The sequence below is a fragment of the Homo sapiens genome, chromosome 9 (genome assembly GCF_000001405.40).
Source record: "Homo sapiens chromosome 9, GRCh38.p14 Primary Assembly".
Lineage (NCBI taxonomy): Eukaryota > Metazoa > Chordata > Mammalia > Primates > Hominidae > Homo > Homo sapiens.
Genome location: NC_000009.12, coordinates 23,675,663 through 23,699,783, shown reverse-complemented (window position 1 = coordinate 23,699,783; position 24,121 = coordinate 23,675,663). Strand labels below are relative to the sequence as shown.

Sequence of the window (24,121 nt, the reverse complement as noted above, 5' to 3'; positions counted from 1 at the left end):
TGGTGATCAGACTAGTGTGGGAGATGCGTGGGGCTGCCTGATGCTTGCCTTTGTGGAGAAAGAAGTCTCACAAAGAAAGCCCTTTTTCAGCTCTGCACATAGGTTTCCTCTGTGACATCTTAAGTGAATAATATATGTATAAATATACTTTTTTAAATTGCAAACGTAGGATGAACAAGCCTGAAGGAATTTTACAGGTATTTCCTAGGCAGCTTGTCCAGTTAATTTCAGAGCTCTTTGGGGCCTTGAAAATGATCTCGAGTTTAGATAGAACAAAGTTCTTCATAATGTATTGGTTGATTTTTAACATTGTGAAGTTATAAAATGTTTGCTGTTAGTGGAAAGCTATATTAGCTACTTTTTTTTTCCAGATTGAAGCAATGATTTTGTTTGATAGTTATTAAGTAAAACAAAGTTCTTGGAATCAAGATTGAATTCTTAGGAAGATTGAGAAGACAGGATTTGGGAGAGTGCCTGATTATTGAAATGGCAAGGCTTGTAGGTGACTCAGGTGCTAGGTTGTTGATGGGTGTCAGCCCTTAGGTTTACCTAGCCTCCATCCCTGCAGGCTCTGTGCTTTTTATTTTTGGTTGAGTAAAGCTTTACAGGATGTTCTTATGGTCAAATTTAATTATCTTTTTCTGGCCCATTCTGTGTTTTTATCTTTTAGTACCATATGTTATCATTAACTTGAAAATTCTTTTTCCTTCACTCCTATAGAAAGACATTTTGGAAGAAGAGAATAAGAGATTGTCAGTTGTAAGGGAAACTTGGTTTCAGAAAATGGGAGAAATTGTTATTCTCTCTTCAGATTTTTAACTGTTGTCCCATTCACCCCATTTCTCATTCCTCCCATGATCCCTGTCCAGATAATAAAATATGAACGAGTTAGTGTGCTCAGAGATAGTGTTTGATCTAGATTGGGTGTGTTGGAAGAAATCAGATTTCAGGTTTAACCTGATGTTTGATGCTTTTCTTTAATACAGTATATTGAACCTGGTTGTCATTATCTTGATTTCCGCCCCACTCCCCCTTCTTCTTTCACCTGATAAAGAAACTTGAATTAAGGGCTTGCTTGTTTTGTTGGTATTTTGCTGTTTTCTGTAGTTCGAGTCTAAATCATCACACAGATATATTTTGTCCCTGATATTTGTGTTTTAATGCTCTTGCCTTGAGTTTTTGTCACCTTTCAGCAGACATGTAGAAAATTTCTCACTGTATTTTTATGTTCTCATAGTACCTTGGGAGTTGAGAGAGATTGAGCAATATAAGTTATATGTATTATGGTCAAGAATACTTTTAATAATCATAAAGTATGAGCCATATCTTTTATGGTCAAAAAGCTTAAAAATCCATGTAATAAGGGTTAAGTTTAAAGGTGGGTTTGTGAGGTTTATGGCTTAGTCAATCTATGAATAATCAGAGAATTGTTGTAATATGAGCACTGCTGGTCTAATACGCTTATTTAATTGACTGCAGTTTTCAAAATAGGACAAGCCTTATTTATTTGGATGGATGGTGTAATTCAAGCCCCTTAAGTATATTCTTGGGACATGATATCAGAATTAAACTTTAAGCCAAATTTTTTCATGTTCTTTTCTGTGAAACAGCTATAATTTTATTGAATATGATCTAGTGTAATGACCTGTGTGCCTGCTTCTATGAGCCTTTATGCATTTTTTAAAAAGCCTTTTAAATGAGCACTTGAGTTGCCTTTAAGGCATGACGTACTGGTTGCATTATCACAATTTCCTTTTGGAAGAAACCGGTATCAATCCCCTTGAATACTTTTCCTCTTTCTTAGAGGACAGATGATACCATCTAATTGAATAAGGCAGTAAGGCAGTAAGAAGATGATCTTGTTGTAGATAATTTCCAAGCAGTTCTCGGTTGGCGCTTTGGAGAGATTTTGATAATCATTATTTGTGGGATTCCGAGTATATTTTCTTACCCATCAATAACTTATCTTCCTATTTTTATTTCTGACTTTAATCGGGTTCACATTTCCCCTTACTTACATGTAGGCCTTCCCATAGTCCATCAGCTAATTTTTTTAGAAATTAGGCAGGTACTTTATTTTTATTTTCTACTTATGAACACCTAGCTTTAAAATAGGAATGATCTGATACATGGTTCTGTTCAAAATTTTGACAGGTTATAATTGGAGCTTTGGTCCTGTTGATAGAAAAATGTTTATACACATCTCTCTCCTATGTGCCTTTTTCATAAATTACATATGTACATGGGCGTGTGCTATTCATTAAATTATAAACTCTAATCAAACATAAAAAAGGATAAAGATGAGACAATCTGTATTAAATGTCTTGCTAATTACTATACTGGTTGGCTTCATTTTCCATGTACCTAATATCTTAATAAATGTCTTTTAAAGCAAGACCATAAAATAATTTCAGATATCTCATCTGACTTCATGTGATGCATGTTGGATTATCTTGTGTCTAACCTTATAATGTAGCTTGTACTAAGAGTAGGAGAAATAATCGGCTCTCCCTTTCCTTATTTACTTGTATTTCCCTTACTGGTACCATTCTTTACTCTGATTTACATTTGTAGTAATCTTTTTTTAAGTTACTTTTTCTTTAAATGGAGGTCATTTTAATTAAAGCAGGTTATCCAGTCTAATCCTCCATATCTGCTTGCTGTGTTATTTGTAAAATGGATTTTGTTCAGGCTAAAGAGCAGGAGAGAGTGCCACTCGCCGCCTCTCCCCTTCGATGATTGCTCAGTCTTCCCCCAGGGAGGCAGGTGATACACAGGACTGAGAAGGTACTGGGTTCAGTGCATCTATTAAATATAAGTAAAAAATACTTTATTTTAAATACATATTTATTTTATATTTTATTTTAAATATATATTTAATGGATACTTTAATATTTACCTTCCATATGTACTACGTTATCATCCACACCCCTCCCTGAGATATTCTGGAGGCAGCTAGCTTGCTCTCCATTTAAAAATTGACTTCCATTTATAAATGACCATAAATAAAAGATGGCTGGGCGTGGTGGCTCACTCCTGTAATCCCAGCACTTTGGGAGGCCAAGGCGGGTGGATCACGAGGTCAGGAGATCGAGACCATCATGGCTAAATGGTGAAACCCCGTCTCTACTAAAAATACAAAAAAAATTAGCCGGACGTGGTGGTTGGGTGCCTGTAGTCCCAGCTACTCGAGAGGCTGGGGCCAGAGAATGGTGTGAACCCGGGAGGCAGAGTTTGCAGTGAGCCGAGATCACGCCACTGCACTCCAGCCTGGGTGACAGAGCGAGACTTCGTCTCAAAAATAAATAAATAAAATAAAAAGATGTCCTTGAGCAGTGGACAGACCCAGCAGACATATTTCTAGGGGCTTGTTGTAGTAGTCCTTGTGTTTGAGCTGCTGCACTATTTTCTCTTACAACTGCCTGTGTTACAGTTTGCCAACTGCTACTGGATTTGGAGTGAATGGTGCCCATGTAGAGCACCCGTTGCCTTTTCTGAGCTCCCATGGGAAACATGAATCTATGGCACCGAGAAAGCTAGGAAATACTTCTGGGCTCAGATGCATACAGTCAGGGGGCTTCAGCAGTGCCTGGGCACTGTTTTCTAGGTTCCATGCTTCTCCCTACACTCGTTGGTGATGGAGGAGAAGAAAGATTAGAGTGGATAACTTGGCTTAGTTCCAAAGGACCAATTTTTTTCTAAAATGAGAGAGAAGTGAAGGAATCAGTGAAGATCATGGTATCATGTAAAACTTCACAGATAGGGTAAAAAAGATGCCCTATCATAATTTGGAGGGTCCTCGGAGATCCTGTTATAAAAAATTCGAAACCTCCTGTCTGGGGATGCCAGAGATGGAAGTGAGGGAGATGGAGGATGGAAAACGAAATGTTTCTCCCTCACTGCATGTACAGTCATGCATCACATAACGTTTCAGTTAATCACATGTACGACCGTGGTACCATAATATAGTAGACTGCAAAAAATTCCTATTGTCTAGTGATATCATAGTCATCCTAATATTGTGCAATGCATTACCTTTTCTATGTTTAGATATGGTTAAATACACAATACTTAGCATTGTGTTAGAATTACCTACAGTATTCAGTACAGTGACATGTTATACAGGTTTGTAGACTGGGAGCCATAGCCCATACCATATAACTAGGTGTGTGGTAGGCTATTACCATCTAGGTTTGTATAAGTGCATTCTATGATCGTACAACAACGAGATCACCTAGTGACACATTTTCAGAACATATCCCCATTGTTAAAAAAGGCCTGACGGTAATTCACTTCAGGGGCAGATTTGGTTTCTACCCTGTTTGAAAATTCTGAAAACTCATCTGTCTCTGGGCCGTATGCTTGGTGTCCTGAGTGGGTGGTAGCAAAGCATGACCTGTCCCTACATGGATGCAATTAATGGGCATAGATGATGTAACTTTTGAGTGAATTGATAAGGTGCCTCTGCATTCTGGGTCTTCTAGCACTTTGGTTGGAGACCTCAGTATGCGGTTCTCTTCTACAGGTAGCATATGCCAAATGCATTCTGTGTTGATCATTCCAGCAATTTGATAAAATTGTATTGTTACTTTATGATTGGTGGTGCTAATATGTGTTTGTCTTTATTGCTGGTAGTTGTGATCCTTATTCTTGACTATAAAGGCATGGCATCTTTGACTGTACTCACCTCTGCAAAAAATAAAACCCCACATCTTTTTACTTATGTGCAGACAAGGTCATCCAACCAATCCTCTTACTAGTTTTCATTCTGGACTAAGTTGACCATAATTTTGGTAACCTCATTGTCTTTATTTGGTCATCACATATTTATTATAAACTATCAGTGACCCTGGCTTGTGCTCAGTGGTGCAATGAGAGGGTGGTGGGTCAAGGCACGCACACACACACACGCACCACGCACACAGAGACACACTCACACACGAAGATCTTTTGTCATTGTGATCTGTTCTGTTTCCTTACACTTTGCATAAGCTCAGTTCTTCTCATCTTTACAAAACAGAATTTTCAGTGGAGACTGAGGGCAGGGATGTGGGAGGCTATATATTTCCCCATTCTGAAAGACCAGATGAGATGTGTTTTGGCTTTTACAAAACTAAAAGGTGTTGGCTTTTGCATGTATACTTTAGCGTGACTTGATGCCACAGGTTAGGTGATAAGGCTGAGACTTTTCAAACTTACCTTTCACGGGTGTTAAAGAAAAAATTCTCACCCCCACCCCCAGTCCCAGAGGGACAACCCTGGGATGTCTTTGGAGAGTGTTGAGCATTGTAGCAGTTGAGGGTGGTTGTGGACTATGTATTAAGTTATGCCTCCTCCTCAGAACACATAATTAGTTGGTAAGCACTGTGGAAATTTGGGACATTAGAGTGGTGTTTTGAAACTGATAAAGAAGAGTCAAATGCTGTAAAACTAATATTTGATATAGGAAAAATGTAGAAGGTTTTAAAGAGTACTTACACCTCCACCCCCACCCCTATTTACTTTCTATAAACATTTTAAGTGAGGCTCAGATTGGCTTGTTTTGTTTCCTACCTGGCCTTTGAAAACTGAGTAGGACGACACTTCCTGTAGCGTAATTTGAATACAGCATCCAGATCAGGATCTGAACTCTTGGCTTTGTTGCACACTGGAGTGATGGATTTTTCTTTTTTCCTTCTCTAGACCTCAGCTGAGCACATTTGAGAAATGGGAGGGTTAGCTTGGGTTGTCCATAAGGTTTTTTCTACCTGTAATTATACCTCCTTGATTCTAAAAGATGAAAGCCCTTCAAAGTTGGGAAATGAAAGGAAAATGTATAGAATTCTGTAACCTGCAGAGTTTGAGTATCAATGCCATAATTTACTAGCCCTGTGGTCTTGAGCAAGCCACTTAAACCCTGTGTGCCTTAGGTATCTGCAGGCACCAACAGAGTTGTGAAAATCAAAAGTAGTATAAAGAACATGTAGCTATACATTGATCACTTTGAAGCTACCTGATGAGAACCCTAAAGTTAACTATCCCAGAGCTTTCGCACTTCCTCTCTGAAAGGTATCCTCAGATGACCGTCACTGTGTCCCATGTACTGACCCTTGTAGAGAGAAACCATTCATTGGAAGAACTGTCCTGTGGCAGTCGGTGCCCATTAGCTTAAAAACGTAAAAAGACCCAGCATTCTGAGTCTTCACATATAATCAGTGTACAGATATCCCCTCGGAAGATGGCAGTAATGAGCCCAACTTTCTTGAACATCAAGGGGAAAAATTAAAAACTGAAGTTTGCTAAATGTGTGTTTTGCAGGTTGGACAATCTGCTCAATATGGCTTATGGAGTAAAGAGGTAATGATAGAGGTTCATGATACTCATAATCCCTTTCCACAGTTGATTGGTTTCTTTGATTTTGGGAGTGCTATTCACACCCCTCATAAGTTTTTGTTGGGTTTTATTTTGCATGTGCAACCTAATGAAAAGCTGCTCTTTGAAGCACAATTGACTCAAGAAATTTTTATACCACCGGATGCCACCTGGTCTTTTAAAAACCCATCATTTGTTTCGTATTGCGTTACGACGTTACAGCATGTTTACGTATGTGTTGATCCCTTCCCCTGCCAATCCTGCTTAATTCATGAAGCCAGTTCTAAATATATTTCTTTGCTATTGTGGATGATATTCAGTACAGTGAATAATGGTCATTTCATAACTTATTAATATCTCAGTAGTCTAGCATGTCACTGCAAAGCCACACACAGACCTTGGTCAAAACATGAAATAGTTTATATATTTGTTGGGGGAGGAGAGTTACTAAAATTCTTGGGGATGGAAAAGGTATACGTTCATTGCTATAACCAACCTCTGTTTTTATTTTTTGTGTGTATGTGTGTATTTCCTATTCTGTTTAGCAGGTTTTCTCCAATGACCATTGACGGAATGACCAGTTTGGCTGGAATTAATATCCCTGGGCACCCTGGAACAGGGTGGTGTATATTTGTGTACAACCTGGCTCCTGACGCAGATGAGAGTATCCTGTGGCAAATGTTTGGGCCTTTTGGAGCTGTCACCAATGTGAAGGTCATCCGTGACTTTAACACCAATAAATGCAAAGGTTTTGGATTTGTGACTATGACAAACTATGATGAGGCTGCCATGGCGATAGCTAGCCTCAATGGATACCGTCTGGGAGACAGAGTACTGCAGGTCTCCTTTAAGACAAACAAAACGCACAAAGCCTAATGAGCTCTTGTCCTCAGTCCATTTATATATGAAAACTATACAACAAAGGCAAGTTAAGAGAAACTTTATACATTAGTAAATGTCTTTGTAAGTCAGTGTTGAGATGGGGATAAAATGACTACTTAGCATCCTAAGAAATATGTGAGATTTTTTATTGCTAGTATTTGAATTAAAACTTCTTAAATATCTTTTATGTTTGAATATGGACAAGAGGTACAGGGTTTTTACCTGTCACATTGCATTCTATTGCCTTCTTTGAAGAAGGTGGACCTTTTAAAGTGTTTCAGCTAAGGGAAGACATTTCTTTTCTTTTTACATAACTGCCTTGAACCTGTGAGTAAATATTGAGGCTTTGTGTTGTAATTCTTCAGTTGGTTGTGTCTTTTTTTTCCCCCCTTTTTTTCCTTTTTCTGATTAGCTTTGTGTTTGGTTTACATTTAAAGCATTGCTGTTATGTCTGTTTAAGAAAAGTATTTTGAAGTTTACATTTTTATTTATGAAGTTTAAAACAGTATTTATTTTGTAATTATGATTTGGGTTGGGGAAGGGGGGGCTACATTATAAACGCTTATTGTAAGAATACTGGAGAACTTTTCGTAAAGCAGTACCTTGCCAAAGAGATAAGAGCCTCTTTGATGTGGGTTTAAAAAAAGCATCTATTTTTATAAAAAAGAAAATTTGGAGAAACTTTTTACTGGTCCTGGAACAAATATTTTGACTTGAATACTTTGAGAAATCTCTTCATATGACACCTAGTGAGCTTTTAAAATTTACCAGGAAATTTGCAGCGGTTGGAAAATTTAGAAAGATTTATGGTGTAGAAAATACTTTTGAGATCTTTGTATGAAAGGAGTAGAATCAATGGGGGGAAACACTGCTGGTTTCATTTTTGTAATCACCAGTGGAGCGTCTGATCATCCTGGTTATTATGTGATAGGTGGCTCACATTGATTTGTGATTTTGAAACAAATAAAAAAAATTTACAAAAGAATATATAAGAGCAGGCAAGAAATTTAAATTACCGAGAGATGGGGGAAAAAATCTGTTCTTCCTAAAGAAATCCCTTCAGATAGAGCTCATGGTGTTTAGTGATGTACTTGCAGTATTGTTTGAAGAATTGTTTTGTCTTAAGGAAAAAAGACGTTGCACATGATTTGTACTGCAGCAAATCAGCAAAAGTGATCTGAGTTGGATATATTTGAAGGTATTTTGAAAGTTACGTTCAAGGCTAACACCTGAGCTTTGTGTAATGTAAATAAGACCTTGTGTTTATGAACCTTTCAGCTAATTTAATTTTTTTTCCCTTACATGCCAAGTGATGTTCAGGTTTTGAATGTTTTTGTATCAGTTTTTTCCTTTGTAAATGGCATTAACATTGTTACTTGAGGTCTTGCTTAATCACTTTTGTTGTCCTGAGGACTTGAATTTACAGTGCATCAGATTTGTTGCAAATTTTGTCTGTAGATAGTCTAGCTTCAGCTGTTTATGGTGATGCTACATTTTGGTTTATAAATATGTTTGTGGTATAAAAAAATGAGTATAACCATAGGTTTTGAACAAATTTCCTTACATTTTTCATACAAAAATCATAAATATCTGTATGCTATTGAAATTTAACTTTGTATGATGCTTAAAAACCACTATTTGGGGAAATAATAAAATAAGTCTTTACCATGTATGAAAGAAATTTTAAAAAATACAAAATATTTTCTGATTAGCATCTAGCTTATAATAAATTTTCAAAAAAGCTGAAGGCAAAAATGCCTTCATCAGGATGCACTGAGAACTATATAGTTACGTCCTGCTTTTTGTATAAACTGAGATGCTCACATGCTTCCCCTTAGAACAGGCAATGTGCTATGCATAACATAGTTGTACATTATCTTTGCGGTTGCTTTGAGTTTTATTTTTTATTATTTAAAATTGTAGTTATAAAATTTTTCAGTATAGTACAGTACATATACTGTGAGGCGCGTGCTAAAGTGAATAAGCGAGTTTTCATGCTGACCCACTCAATGCTATTCAGAAATCAATTGGCTTAGCACTTTCTCATATCCTTAGGTGCATTTAGATTGCCAGAGTTAACCTTCTGCGTTTAAAAAAAGAAAAACACTAAAAAATAAAATACATGTATATACTTAAAAAAAAATAATAAGGTTTCCCTCAAGGGAAAACAGCAGCTACATGCTTCTTTCCTATACTACTGTAGCAAACCAAGGCATTGATGAGAGGGCATGCAAATTGTGCTTCACTTTACAGTGTTTTATCAGAGCACTTAATAAAATGTAAGGCTGGTATTTATTTGAAGTTGTACAGTATGACTTAATTCACATCTGTTGGAATAGAAAATATATTCTGTTGAGTATTTAAGAGGCTGTACATGTTTTCTTTTGTGTTTGGATTCTTTGTACTTTTTCATGTTCAGTACATCAATAAACAAAGTTGAAGGGAAAGAACAGTGTGGTGAGTAGGTCTTTATACACAATTCGGGGGCACCTGTGCTCAGTCTAATAAGCAGACTTGCTTTCTTGAATTAAAAGAAGTTCCCTGAGAGTTTTAGTGGAAAGCAGTGTTACCTCTTAGAATTCCAAAAGGCAAGTTAATTGAAGTAGAACGTGCAGAAAATTTTTGGACTGAATGACACCTTCTGATTAGTTTTCAAATACTGCTAAATGAGTAATTCTCACAGGAGAACATACTCTCATCTGCTAGTTGTAAAGTTTGGGAAATCGGATATCGACACCATTTTATGGCTGGGATTCAACCTTCAGCTTTTTGCACAGATAATCACCCTTACACGTCAGTTAAAAACCAAACAGGAGGAAAGTAGCTTACTCGGCTTCCACTGGCAATCTTTAATTCCCTCATGGGATTAAGTGTTGCTGTGTGAAAGTTACTTTTTTGCACAAATGCTAGATTGTCAAGAGATTGTTCCCTAAAATCAGAAATTCAGTTTCTGTTAAGTTAGTGTTGTTGTGTGTCACACACGTTACAAACCATGAACTCTGCCAACCCCGTATTTCGCATAGAAGTTCAGTTCTTGTATACACCCTTAACAGATCTGTGAAGGTTAAAAGGATTTCCTGCTGATCTTTTGTGAAAGGATTCTACTTCTATAGAACTTCAGACAAATGAGTATAATAATGAAACACTTTTTTTTTAAACAAAGTATACTAAATGACTTATTTTAATTTTATTGTATCTGTCGGCTTTTTTGGTAAAAGCCATTCTAAAAGTAATTGTCTTGAATTCACAACCTACTAGTCAAGAGCGTAGTTGAGTGACAAGACACTTCCTTTTTTCAACATGCAATTAGTCTTAAATCTCCATACTCCCTCTTCTTATTATATGAATTTAATACTCTAATTTTGTGATGTTGGAACATCCTCCCCTCACCTCTCTCCTCTTGCATGTTTTATCGGTATTTTGATTGGTTTGCATGTCAGCAGTTCTTTTATAATTGAGCAGATAGTGGAAAAATTCTCAGCAAAGGAAGTTGGTATAGTAACTACTGGTATATTTGAGGAGAAATTTCGTCTTTCTCCCTTTTTTTTTTTTTTTTTTTTAACCTGTGCTTGGAAATTATCTGAACAATATTGAAATTCAGTTTTAGAGCGGCCTACGTGAAATTCTTAATGTTAACATCATTTTACATTATTATAATCTGAGAAAAAAATGTTAGCAATTTAACCATTCTGTTTTTTTAAGATAAACAGATTGCAAGATTTCTACTTTTTATAAGAGGTTTACAAATGAATTGTAGTGGAAACTGACAACTGCTTGCTTACAGCGTTACCTAGAACAAAGAAAATGTGTTTTTTAATAAGTTTGTTGAAATTGTAGTACCTAGGCCTATTAACCTACTTATGGAGCAATAGGCCATATACCTTTTATTGGGTAGAAGAAAAAAAGAGGGGCATTTAGCTTTTTTATGCCTCTATTATAGTGGAACCTCAAACAGTGGGACCAAACAAATACTGATAAAATCGTGACAGTTTATTATTATTGGATGAAGAGCATTTATAGTCTGTCATTGCAGTTAATAGCCCATATTTTTCTACTTCTAGTAGTAGTCACACTCCTCCTCTGAAAATTTCCAAAAGTAGGCCCATCTCCCTTCAAGTTGCAAAGATTGAATATTTACACCACTATTACAGGCATCCTGTGGATATAGGATGGACCTTATTGAAATTAACCTTTCTAGAATTCTGGCTCATAAAAATAAAGATTTTTTGGTTGGTCAGCACATAGTTAACTATCTACCATACTGTGCCCTGGGTCTATAAAAGTGAGCAAAATACTGCTCTTACCTTCTTGGATACCACCTGGAAGGGAGGACTAACAAGCCAGCAGGTTACGACTGCAACGTCCTAAGTGCTATGAGAGCCCAGGAGCAGCTGTCAAGCTACTTTGCTGTAGTTTTTATAAATGCAGTTACAACTCACAAAAGTAAAACCTGTTCTACTCCTCTTACAGATGCTTCTTTTCCTTTCTTGGACTAATTGTTGGCTGATTGTTTAATTTTCAGTCTGACAGTGGTATCACTTAGTTTTGCAAATCTTTGAACGCTGCCATGCTCAAGTTGTCCAGATCCTCTCTTTAAAAAACGCAAAGCTACTAATAAACGATAAGACACTGTCGATCTGAATAACTGGATGGCGTGAGGTATCTGGCTGGATAGTCTTGCTCTCTCTAAACATAAACTATGGAGTGACGATTTTGAATGTACTAATATAGTAAAGTACCCTGGATATTATAAGTATGCTTGATGGGTTTTACCCTACCTTAAGACTCACCACTATCTTAGGATCTTAAACTTAGTATTAACATTACTTTTGGTTTAAGTAACTAAAGATATGGGTGAAGACTACGTTAATACTCAGCCTCAAAATCACTCATAGGTGTTTTTTCAAATAAATACCTTATAGCAACCTTATAAATACAAGAAAACAGTCTATTTCTGCAGACATAAATGTGTGGAAGACATACGCCTTTCTGCTCTCCTGGAGCCTGTCATGCTCTAGAAGATTACATCTGTAAGTAACTACAGTAAAGTGTTGTACACAAAGTGCATTAAAAGAGGAGGAAGTGGGGAGACTCCTAATGTTGCATGTAGTCGTGGAGAAGGTTGTTCCTGGGATGGGAATGCTGAGCCACACAGAAGTGGCAGCAGTTGAGCTGCATCAGTAAGGGTAGGTGGGATTTTAAAAGATACCCGGGGAGGCAATTCAAGAAGACATCCCTGGGATCAAAGACATAGGCAAGCCTCTACCTCTATTATTTCTGGAGAATTAATAAGTCATATTCAGTCTAGACTTAGGAGTTTGTGCCCATGACTAGTTAAGTCTAAAAAATACCTAAACAGCAAAACTTTTTTTCTTGCCCATTTCTACTGCAACACTAAAAATTACTTGCCATGATAGGTTATGTGTGGTTTGGGGAGTTCCGTAGAACTTGGTAGGGACATTCCTCTCTTTTAAAAGAGACATTTATTTGGGGTGTGTCAGGCAGTCAGTGTATGTGAAAAGATCAAACAAAAATAGAATCTCTCCAGCAACAGAATACTGATCTTTTTCTCCCACTATTATACCTAAAAAACTCTATTGTTCAGATGATAAAAGTTATCATTTTTTAGGATTTATACTATTTCTAGTGTTACAGTACCTGATTCATTCCTTTCTTGGATATGAATTTTACACTCTTCTTACCTGTATCACTCAAGCATCACCTTCATCGAAGGTGAGGGAAAAATTATAAAATTCAAATACTTCTCAGATATATGCAAGATGAGGTTTTAGTTTGATAGGATGCCCTTTTTTTTTTTTTTTTTTTTTTTTGGTGTTTGGAAACTCAATAACCATTTCAATGATGAACCTTGCTGGGTTTTTTTAATCCTGTAAGGCCCTTTGACCTACAGGTTGTTGATAGCCACATGCTACCTCTAATGCTGATTTTCATGGTGTACTCCTTTTGAGAATGCTCCTCGTCCTGTTGAATGCATGCTTCAGAAACAACCCGCCCATCTGCGGATTTTCTTGCAGACATGATGAGACCAGCAGCCATTCTCAGGGTGACTCACTCTTTGGAATGAAACACAGTTGGCAAGGTAGTTTTGTTATCTGGATTGCGGGTTTTTAATTGCAGTGTGGCAAAGGTGCAGCAGCTGGCCATGAGAATGGGGGAGGGAGGTCATGACCCATAAATCTATGTAGGCATCCAAAAGATGCAGTGCTTCATTCCTTGGACCTTGAAGAAAAAAAGCAGCCCATCAGGAAGTACCATTGAGCACCTTGTTGAAAGAAAATCCCCGTACTTTTACATCCATGTTGTAGATCATCTATTTCTTTAAAAATGTTTTGTTATGCCTTAGGTGTAGTAGTAATTATAAGAAATAATGCAGATTTTCACACCAAGAAAAAAAAAACCTGGGTGACTATCAGAAAGGTTAAGCAGATATTACTAGAAATGCTGAAGCAGAAATTGCAGTTGTTACTTTATGAAATGTTCTTTAGTAGAAATTTCATCTCTTGAGAATGGTTGCTGCAGTGTGTTTTCTGTATGTAGAGAACTATATGTTGAATGTATTCTGTTTTTCAGGGGTTACTCTTAAAGAAGTACCTGTGTTCTATTCATACATTGCATAAAGAAGTCCTCTTTGCTTAAGTAAACTGCTACTTATGTTTTCTGTCTTAAGATGGCCTGAGGACCAGATGATAAGCCAAGCATTCGGTCTTTCCTACATAAAGGGTGGTAAGAACTTTTCATAAATTTAGTCTGAAACTTATCCTCATCCTAATAATGAAAATTTATTTTATTTTTTGCTGAAATAGTAGTACATTTTAAAAGTTGTGCTTCCCAAGCTCGTTTATGTCATGAGTGCCTGTCCTGAGGGGGAACCTTTATCTCCACACACGTACAACCACTTCTAGGCCAAGCAGCACACCAGGGCTTATGTGTGGGAAGCTCTGATTTAAATAGTTTACTTTTTTAAAATTTCCTTTCTTTCACTAAGTGTACATCAAGCATCTACGCTGTACCAGTCACTATGCTGTAAGATTTAGGCTGAAGACTTAATCTATGTTCTATTTCTCAGTCTGGTTTTGAGTTGGAAGACACTTCAGTGGTCTTGTTCAGCACACCTTATTTTGCAGATGTATGAGCCAGACCCAGAGAGATTAAGGTTCTCCAAGATTTTTTGCTAACCTGAGACCTGGCACTGAAACCCAGCCCTCCCCCACTCTTGGAGCTCTGTCCTTCCTACCATCAAAGTACTAAAACACAAGCTGAATTAACTTTAATAAGCTGTGTCCTTTTAGGAGGTCAGATTTTTGAAATCCTTCAGGATATGTATGGCATCTAGAAGTTGAACATAGGTAAGTGCATATAGTATTTTTTGATGTGCTCAATATCGTTTACCTCCCTTAAGAATAATTTCAGTCAATAATAGTATAGTCACTGTCGAAAATGCATAAAGTACAAAAAAATTCAGGTCAAAATTTACTCAGTCCTTTCATGGAAAGAAAACATTTTTTAGTACATTTTGTCGCTGCCTCTTTATTTTTAATCCTTTCTACAACATTTTTAAACGTTCAGATTTGCTTTTTTCTTTAATAAAGTTTTTTTGCTTTTTTAATTGTGTTCTATGCGTATATGAATAATATTTTTTGAGATAAAATAACGTATTTCTGATTTTTAAGACATGTCAAAGCTGTTGTCTGTTTTTTGTTACATTGATTGTTGCTGACATTATGTCAGGGAGGTGTAAAAATCAGGAGTTCTATGTGGTTTCCTATTACAACTGTATTTCTCCAGGCTTTTTTTTTTTTTTTTTGAGACGGAGTCCCGCCCTATCGCCCAGGCTGGAAGGCTGGAGTGCAGTGGCACCATCTCTGCTCACTGCAACCTCCGCCTCCTGGGTTCAAGAGATTGTTCTGCCTTAGCCTCTTGAATAGCTGGGATTACAGGCATTTGCCACCACGCCCAGTTTTGTTTGTTTGTTTGTTTGTTTTTATGTTTTTAATAGAGACAGGGTTTCACCATGTTGGCCAGGCTGGTCTCAAACTCCTGACCTCACGATCCGCCCGCCTCAGCCTCCCAAAGTGCTGGGATTACAGGCATGAGTCTCCAGCCTTTTAAAAAGGCTAAAGACAGATGAAGTCCAGACGCTAAGATGATCTCTCCAAACCTCAGTTTAGGGTAGTGATGCCTAAATGACTACTTGCTACTGTGTTCGGTGGGTAATTTGGTCGCAAGCATCAGCTATGCAGTAGGGTCATGGATAGGGAGAGAAGTATGAAGCTACTTTTTCTCTCTACGGACAGAGGGTGAGTAGATGTCATAGGGTACTGATAACTACTTCTGTCCTTCTTTTCTTAGCAAAAGAAAATGCTTCCATCCCTAATGGGGACAGGAGGAGAGGACGACGATGAACCCAATTGTGTGTGAGTAATTTTTCCTCCTCCTTCCTGGGTCTGTGATTGCGGTGATGTTCTGTCTTGCAAGGGTCTGGGTAAATACTGGCTCCTTATTGCTTGTGCTCAGAGAACTAGCTGATGGTAGAAGAGCACTTTTAAAGGAATTGATGAGACTGAAAGCTGCTCGTTAGAGTGCACCTGGATCCTGCCATGACATCACAGGCGGACCATAAACGGCTCTCCAGAAAGCACGACAGCCTTTTTTCACCCCTTTCTTAACAATGAGACGTAGATTGGGCTTGTTCTCTATTCAAGCATCCTTATGAGTAAATGTCTATTTTTATGGTAGAGCTGCACTTTAAAAATAGCTCCAATCAGTGCGACTCTTTTCCCCCATATGTTAAAAAGTTATACATGAGTTAAAATATCTCAGATTGCTTAAATTCTTCCAAACCCAAGCCACATTCCTTTTTCCTTTTTTTTTTTTTTAACTGTGGGGGAGGGGGTTAGGTGGGTGGGAGGGGCGAATTAACTACAAAATAAGGACTTTCAGGGCCTCCTTAACTCTGTTTCAGACTTTTTAGCAGTAGCAAGATTTTTAAACCAAGATTTGAGATTTCTGATTTTAAAAATTCATTAATATTTGGTGGATACAGTCTCCTTCCTGAAGCGATTGTTTATTTTTGTTGCTGAGAGCAATTAGCTAGAACAGTCACAGTTGCAGCTGTTAGATACTATAAGCTCCAGTGGAGATCACAAAAGGCCTTATGCACATTTAGAGGCTGTATTTGGATTGTTGTTAATGGGTGATTCTTCTGGAGTCTACTGTGTTAGCAAATTCGATTGGGCGATCCTGAGCCAAATCAAATGTACAATGGGATCATCAGCATGCTGTGTTGATCAGAGTCACTTAAACACCTTGCTGTTTTGTGCAAGCCAGGATGGCTGTGGCTGCATGTGCAGAAAGAGCATGTACTGTTCCTTTTCCTGAATCCTCCCCATGCAAACCTGGATGTGACTCATCTCAAAACATTATGCTGTTTTCTCAGGAATTTTTCCTTTTGTGTTTACTTCTTGTTTGCTGCTTTGGACTTGTTGGAGCTTTTGTGAGATAATCTGCATGTGCACGCATGAGAGAGATTCACAGATACAATCTGGTGCCCATTGATTTATGTCTTTTGGAAAGAGTATCTTCTTAGAGAATCTTGGCTCCAGTTTAATGGCTGACACTTCAGAAACAGCAGCTCAAATGAAGGAGTTGTTTCAGTATTTTTCTAGTGTCTGTACTTCTGCCTGTGAATATCATTTTGGTGAAGGAGTGTATATTTCTGTGCATATCCATAATCATACTGCCTTAGGATTCACAATATGCTTCGTGTGTGAGAATTTTTTATTGGGGTGTAGGACACGGAATGGGAAATGTCGCCTTGGGGTAGGATGTGCCCCGCCTGACGGGGGACGTCCGTTTGCACTCTCATCTTCCTGGGGTACTTTATGTAACTTTTTCTTCTTCTTGGAGCTGCTCTTGCTGCCAGCAGCCTCTTCAGGTCCACTGCTGACCAGCTCCTTCCTCTTTGAAGGGGAATTTCCTGTTTTTTTCTTAGTGACACTCCTGTTGCCTGCCTCTTTGGGATCATTAACTGCTTCCTCCTTGGGTGAAGACGTCTTCCTGTTGGGAAGACTGATGCTGCCAGCGGTCTCTTCTCGATGGCTGCTAACCAATTTCTCCTTGGAAAAAGATTTCCTTTTATTAGGTTTGGAGAAAGAGTTAGATGGGTCTTTGATTCCATTCTCCTGAGGAGCCTCCTGGGGCTTTTGCTTTTTCTTCTTTTTGGGTTTTACACTTGTCTTTGCACACTCCTCTGGAGTTCTGTTTTCCAAAGATGGGACGGCAAGTGCAGCTAGCATTTCTTTTCCTTGTTTAAGTGTTTCTACTCCTGTTTCTCCAGCTTCCTAATAATCTCAGCAGCCGTTTTCTCTGCCTGAACCATTTCTGTTTTCATGACATCCATTTTCTTTGATAGGATCTCTCCAGTCTCATAGAAAGACAGTCTCTCTTCAACTTGTTCTTGAAGCTTCTCCCCAAATATGCTCATGAGCACCTCAGCGAAGCAGTCGATTTGCGAGGCAATACTGCATTTGTTTGCCAGGTATTGGGAGATGCGACCTTTATTCCTGGCAGCTGCTTGGCCAGTGAAGGTGGAGTGGAAAACGAGTCCATATTTTGGTGTATTACCCTTTGTCATCAGGGTTCTGGAGACTTGGTCCTTTTGCTAGGCCCTGGGAAACAGTATGCTTTTACATACATTTTCTCTCTGATTCTCACAACCTGTGAGGCAGAGAATTCTGTATTGTTCCCATTTTACAGAAGTGTACATAATCTTAGAGTTGGTAAATAGCAGCACCCGCTTACTTTTGTGTACTGTTGCCATTTTGTGGAAATAAGAAAATGCGTATTTTGTGTATTCTGTAGCTAAAGCAAATTGATGGACTCCCCTACATTTAAAAGGCTGGTAGAGATTGCCCTAATTGTAGGACTAGTTTATAGTGGCTTCATAGTAAGTGGAATCAGGAGATGTTAACCGTGTCTCTTTTTGGGGAAATAATTTGGGAATCTTGGAGGGTTTTGGTAATTGTATTATAAGTGGGAATCTCAAGTGTACATTGAAATTTTGTTTCCTGCTAGCTAGCATAAATTAATTAGAAGTCATTACATTTTGATGAGATTTACGCACTTATATGAAGATATTTTTAGAGCAGCTTTTCAAATGGCAATTGAGTGACCAGATGGCAATCTGTTTGAGTAGCCAGCTTAGATCTATTACTAAGTCAAGTAGTGTAGTTCTTTAATCACACCTCCCTGTAATAGAAATTTTCATACAATTGGAGAGGTATAAATGCTGGTATATTTTATCTGGTAATTTATCTAGTAATTTTAATGAAACTTTTTCTGTAAATATTTTTTATCTTTCTCTGGATAACGATTTTTAAATAATTCTGTAGTCTCCTACAGTATTTGTGTTTTGAATTGACCACATGCAAATTTCAGCAAATGCAAGACTTTCTTCCCTTTTTCCTTCTAATGAAGATTAAATAATTATCGTAGTGTGAATTGTTGATGGATTTTTTTGTTTCTTTAAGACAATTTATATTTTATCTGTTTGGAAACCAAGCCAATATATACTAGGGCACCAAAATCATTAGAATTGGAGTGTGTCTATTAGACAATGTTTTTTAATACTCAGACTTGATTTTAATACTCAGTGTTTGAAAGCAATGTGGTAACATCATCTTGAATAAATTAGTTAAGGACCCATTAGAGATATGGAAAAGTGAGATGAGAAGGATGTGGAGCTGTGAGTGAGGATAGATGGGTTGACCAGACCTCAGAGCAAGATGGATCAGTGAGGGCACCTCTGTGTCATGCTCTTCTTTCCCACACAATGGGCAGGAGCCCTGGGCAAGGAGTGGAGGTAAATCAGGAAGAATTCCATTAGGAAGATTTCTGAGTGACATTTTGGACAGTGATCCTGAGATTTTGAAGACTGTAGACAGCTGTATTGGGCTCAGAGTAAAACATCAGATCTTAGTTGAATCATGTCGCAACAAATATTGAAACACTTGTAAAGCATTTTATCTTGCACTGTGGCTCTCAAACTTAGGTATGCATGGTAACTCACCTTTGGAACTTATTAATACAGATGCTTCAGACACAACTGGATTCTGATTCAGTGGCTCTAGGGTAAATCCCAGACAGCCTTTATAACAGACAGGGCTTTTTCAGCCAAGGCAGAGACACATTAGTGGTTGGAGTTAGCTGGAAAGGGTATAGGAAATCTGAGGTGTTCTTGCTCTGCTCGTTCCTCCTCCTCCTCTGTTGTGTTCTCTTCAGGGTCCAGGAACCCTGTGGTTGTCTATTTCTATACTAGTTGACACCCAGAAAACTTATATTTGACGAAATGATTTGAGTCAAGCACCATGCTAAGTATTTTCTGTGCATTATCTCGCTTAACATTATGAGAGAGATACTCTAATCCAATTTGACAGAGGAATAAGATGAGACTGAAAGAGGTTTAAAAACTCGTCCAAGGACTGTAATTAGCAAATTGTTAAGCTAGATCTGCAACTCGTGTGACTTCAAAACCTGCAGTCTTAACACAGTATACTGTAATGGTTAATAGTAGGTGGCCTTGATAGAAACATTTTACCCTTAAGTGAGGTGGTTTGGTTTTACTGCTGAAATACATCACCTGGAAAAAAGCCTAGCTGGGCTTTTTGTGTGAGGGGAAGTCTATAATACATACATAACTTAGCTCATGTTTTAGCTTCCTAGACTGGAAAATCCCTTAGAGTAGTACCTTTCCTGCAGGTCAGCTTGGTGTTTCTTTTCCTCTGTATCCACCACAGTTCCTTGAGCATTGTGAGCACTCAGAATGCATGCAGGATACATAAAAGGGGAGAGTGAAGTCTGAGGAGTTATTACCTACTCACAGTTAGGGTGTGAGGCCTGGCTCATTCTAAAATGTTATTTTCTCTATCAAAATATTAGTGCTGATAATATTCGTTGTGGGTTTTTTGTTTTTTGGTTTTGGTTTTTTTTGGTTTGTTTTCTTTTTACATTTTGGATTTGCTTGTTTCGAGGGTGTGTCAGGGTTGAAAATAATGCCTAAATTATAAAACAGTGACTCCAGGAAAAGTAGGGAAAAGGAATTACTATGTTTCAAAAGAAAGTGCAAGTGTACACACTCAGTAAACTTTGTTGTGTGTTGTTTCTGTTCTCCTTGGATAAGAACATCTTGTAAGTGTGAATGTTTCTTATATAAAGTTAGTGATATAAACAGTTAATTATAACGTCTTCCATCTTGGACAATATATAAACTGGTCCTGTGTCTGAAGTGTGTGTGTGTGTGTGTGTGTCTCTCTCTCTCTGTGTGTGTGTGTGTGTGTGTGTATCAGAAAAATCAGACGAATGTAAAGAAACGTTGAAATGTCTGATGTTCTATTTCTTAAGAGACCAGGTGAGTGGTATTTAGCGTACACTTATAAATACAAGACTTCATAACTTTCCTCTTTTTGATGGTAATATTATGGTGTTAATAGCCAAAAGGTAACCTGACCTGCTTGAATTTACTATTAGTAGTAGAATATCCTCTACTTAGAGTTGATAGCTTGACTAATGCCACTTATTCACCAAAAGCCAAATCCTAAGAGACATACAACAATATCAGGAGGTTACATGCATGTGGAGTTCTTGGGTGTACTTGGGCAGATATTTCTCTGACTTAGTATCAGACTCTTATATAAAACTGTCTTGTCATTATTGCTTTCCTTTGCTGAATGTAGACCATGACCTGATTACTAATTTTCGTAATTCTGAAAGATACATATTCCCTAATGGAATAAGGGGTTAGGGGTTAGGGTTTAGCTTCTTTCATCGTCACAGAATAAGATGGAAAGATGAGTTATCTGTTTCTAGGTAAGTGAGTGAAAAAGACGAAAGCATGTATCCTGACTAAAGCATGGTCAGAGTCAGACTTTTTGGAGTAGAACCCAGATTATTTCCCTTTTGTCTTGCGGTATGTGAGCCTCTAACAGGTAAGAAAGCTTGCAAGCTTTAATGGAACCCAGTTCAGATTAAAATCTTTGATTAAAATCTTTATTTTTCTGTCTTCAGAGACAAAACATTTGTTCTTTTGGTGGCAAGATAGGCAATTATCTTAACTGCTTTGTATGTGTAGAAAATTACCTCGGTAGCAGTTATGGGTATTTCTGTTTTTGCTGTTTCCTGTTGTTCATGCATGCTGTTGGACCCATAAGGAGTAATAAGCCTTGTGGATTAGTTGATGCAAATGCCTTCATTTGGCAGGTAAGGAACTCTGGTAAAGGAAAAGTGATTGACTTGACCAATGTTGAGCACTCTGTGTGATTAGAACCACAGACCTCTATGTACCAAGCTATTATTTAGAAACTGAGTAGTATCATATGAGTGAAATAATACCTAAAAGTATTCAAATACATTTTACAGTAGCACTTGCTATCTAAATTGACGTGCATAAACATGAAGGATATGGACTTGCCTGAAATAAAATGTGCAGTATTTCACACAGTGTTCCAACTACTTACCACCATATCACCTTCAACATGACATAATCTTGGTTGCCAAAGTAGATTGCTAATAAATTATTATAGTACATAGAATAAGACCTGGACTCTGTTCTCAAGGTCTTGTTGTTCTAATTATGGCCCATGGATCAGCAGCATTGATGTCTTTTGGAAATTTGTAAGAAATGCAAACTTACTTTATAATAGCTTCTACCCCTAAACGACTGAGCCATAATCTGCATCTTAACAGAAGTCCCAGGTTGATCCATTCGCATATTTAAGTTTGAGAAGAAGTGATGTAAGGCAGTGTTTCTTGAACTTGAGCATTCTTAAGATTGACCCAGAGGGCTTGTTGAAACATGTATACATAGATTCCTGGGCCCAAAAAGTGATTTCATAGGCCTGGGGTATGTGCATTGGGAGTTGTCTTTTCCCTGGACATCTTGCAGCTTTGGTTGGATGTCTTCCAGGGCTGGGATATTCCAAGTGTCGTTTAGGTGGTTGAACTCAATTAGTTTAAGATTGTGTCTTAGTCCATTTTGTGCTGCTATAACTGAGTACCACAGACTGGGCAACTTCTTTTTAAATTTTATTTTAAGCTCTGGGATACATATCCAGGATATACAGGTTTGTTACACAGGTAAACGTGTCCCACGATGATTTGCTGTACCTATCTAAGCCCAGCATGCATTAGCTATTTTTCCTGATACTCTCCCTCCCCCTACACAGGCCCCAGTGTGTGTTGTTCCCCTCCCTGTGTATATTTGTTCACATTGCTCAGCTCCCACTTACAAGTGAGAATGTGCAATGTTTAGTTTTCTGTTCCTGCATTAATTTGTTGTGGATAATGCCTTCCAGTTCCATCCTTGTCCCTACAAAGGATATGATCTCATTCCTTTTTATGGCTGCATAGTATTTCATGGTGTGTGTGTCTTCATTTTTCTTTATCCAGTCTATCATTGATCGACAATTGGGTTGATTCCATGCCTTTGCTATTGTGAATAATGCTGCAATGAATATACGTGTGCATGCATCTTTATAATAGAATGATTTATATTCCTTTAGGTATATACAGACTGGGTAACTTATAATGAACAGAAATTTATTGGTATCTTGGTTGCGGAAGCTGGGAAGTCCAAGAGCATGACACCAGCATTTGGGTAGGGCCTTCTTGTTGCATCGTCCCATGGTGGAAAGCTAGAGGGCAAGAGAATGTGAGAACAAGGGCAGAGAAGGCCAAACTTGCTTTTCATCTGGAACTCACTCCTGTGATAACGGCATTAATTCATTCATGAGGGCAGAGCTGTCAATGCCTAATCACTCCCTAATGGGTCTACCTATTATATTGTCACAATGGCAATTGAGTTTCAACATGAGATTTGGAGGGGACATTCAAACTGTAGCAGATCCTTTGCAACCAATTCTGGTTACTTTTACTAAGGGCTGGAGGTGGAGTCTACAGTAGTTCCACATTTATTTGTTAAAAGTTACTCTGCAAAGGACTATGGTTGATGGAAAAAACTGTTCTGTGGTTACTAGAGGTGAAAATCTGTGTAGAGAGAAATAGGCCAGAGGAATAATATGCGAACTGTTTCCAGTTAACCATTTAATGGGTTGGCTAGGGGCTTTACTGTCTTTGTCCATGGAAAAGAAAAAACAAATTGCACATCTCTGCTTTTCTAAATGCTACTTCTTTCTAAGAATTTTGATAACTTCCATCATTTCTCTAGCCAAGTACAGCCAACACATATCAGAACCCGGCGGTTGACATGGCCATTTCGTTTTTCCTTTTAAAATTGATTTAGGGCAGTTCTTGAGCAGCCAAGGCTTGGCCACCTCCTACTTTGCCTTAAGGTGTTTTTATGTGTTTATACGCTGAGAGCACGGGTACCTTTGAGGGGTTGCAAACAGTTCGGTTGATCAGTGTGGTCAGGAAGTACTGGCCCTCACCGTTGTAAGACTGCTAAATCTGTAAGACTGAGGAAACAGGAGGATTTGGATATTGGATGAGTTTCAATAGGTATGTTTGTGTTCTTGTCAAAATGAAAATTCTTTTGAGTTGATACGTATTCTTGTTTGTGTTGTAAAGTCTTAATATAGCAGTGGCACAGGAAAAATACCCCAAAAGTAAGTTTTTCTAAAGGATCTTTTTCCTGTAATGTTTAAACCATTATTTATCTTCTCTGGATGGCATCAAGTACTTGGTATGTCTTAATAGAAGGGAAAAAAGTTGCTTCATTACTTGTGGTGGGTGCAATCCTTAGCAAACTCTACTTTTTAGAATTTTGGGTAAAGCCTGGGTATGTGAAGTTTTGTTCATTTGCCCTTAATTTTCACTTATCTCCTGTAATAAAAAGTAAGTCATTTATAGATAATAT

The 24,121-nt window shown here is 37.9% G+C and overlaps 1 protein-coding gene and 1 pseudogene across 59 annotated transcripts in view; one reads left to right on the top strand and one right to left on the bottom strand.

Annotated features, from left to right (window-relative positions):
- Nucleotides 1–9,680, top strand: part of ELAVL2 (ELAV like RNA binding protein 2) — a 160,498-nt gene extending 150,818 nt beyond the window's left edge. For 25 of the 59 annotated variants that reach the window (NM_001385696.1, NM_001351460.2, XM_011517779.4 and 22 more), the window contains 2 exons: nucleotides 6,298–6,336; nucleotides 6,897–9,680. In NM_001385696.1, the coding sequence (NP_001372625.1) occupies nucleotides 6,298–6,336; nucleotides 6,897–7,227 (370 nt within the window). In that variant the 3' untranslated portion in view covers nucleotides 7,228–9,680. Of the gene's footprint in view, nucleotides 1–6,297; nucleotides 6,337–6,468; nucleotides 6,583–6,896 lie in introns of those variants that run through there. The other 34 variants (NM_001351466.2, NM_001351462.2, NM_001351456.2 and 31 more) reach the window with 5 other exon arrangements.
- Nucleotides 17,022–17,913, bottom strand: NOP56P2 (NOP56 ribonucleoprotein pseudogene 2; annotated as a pseudogene).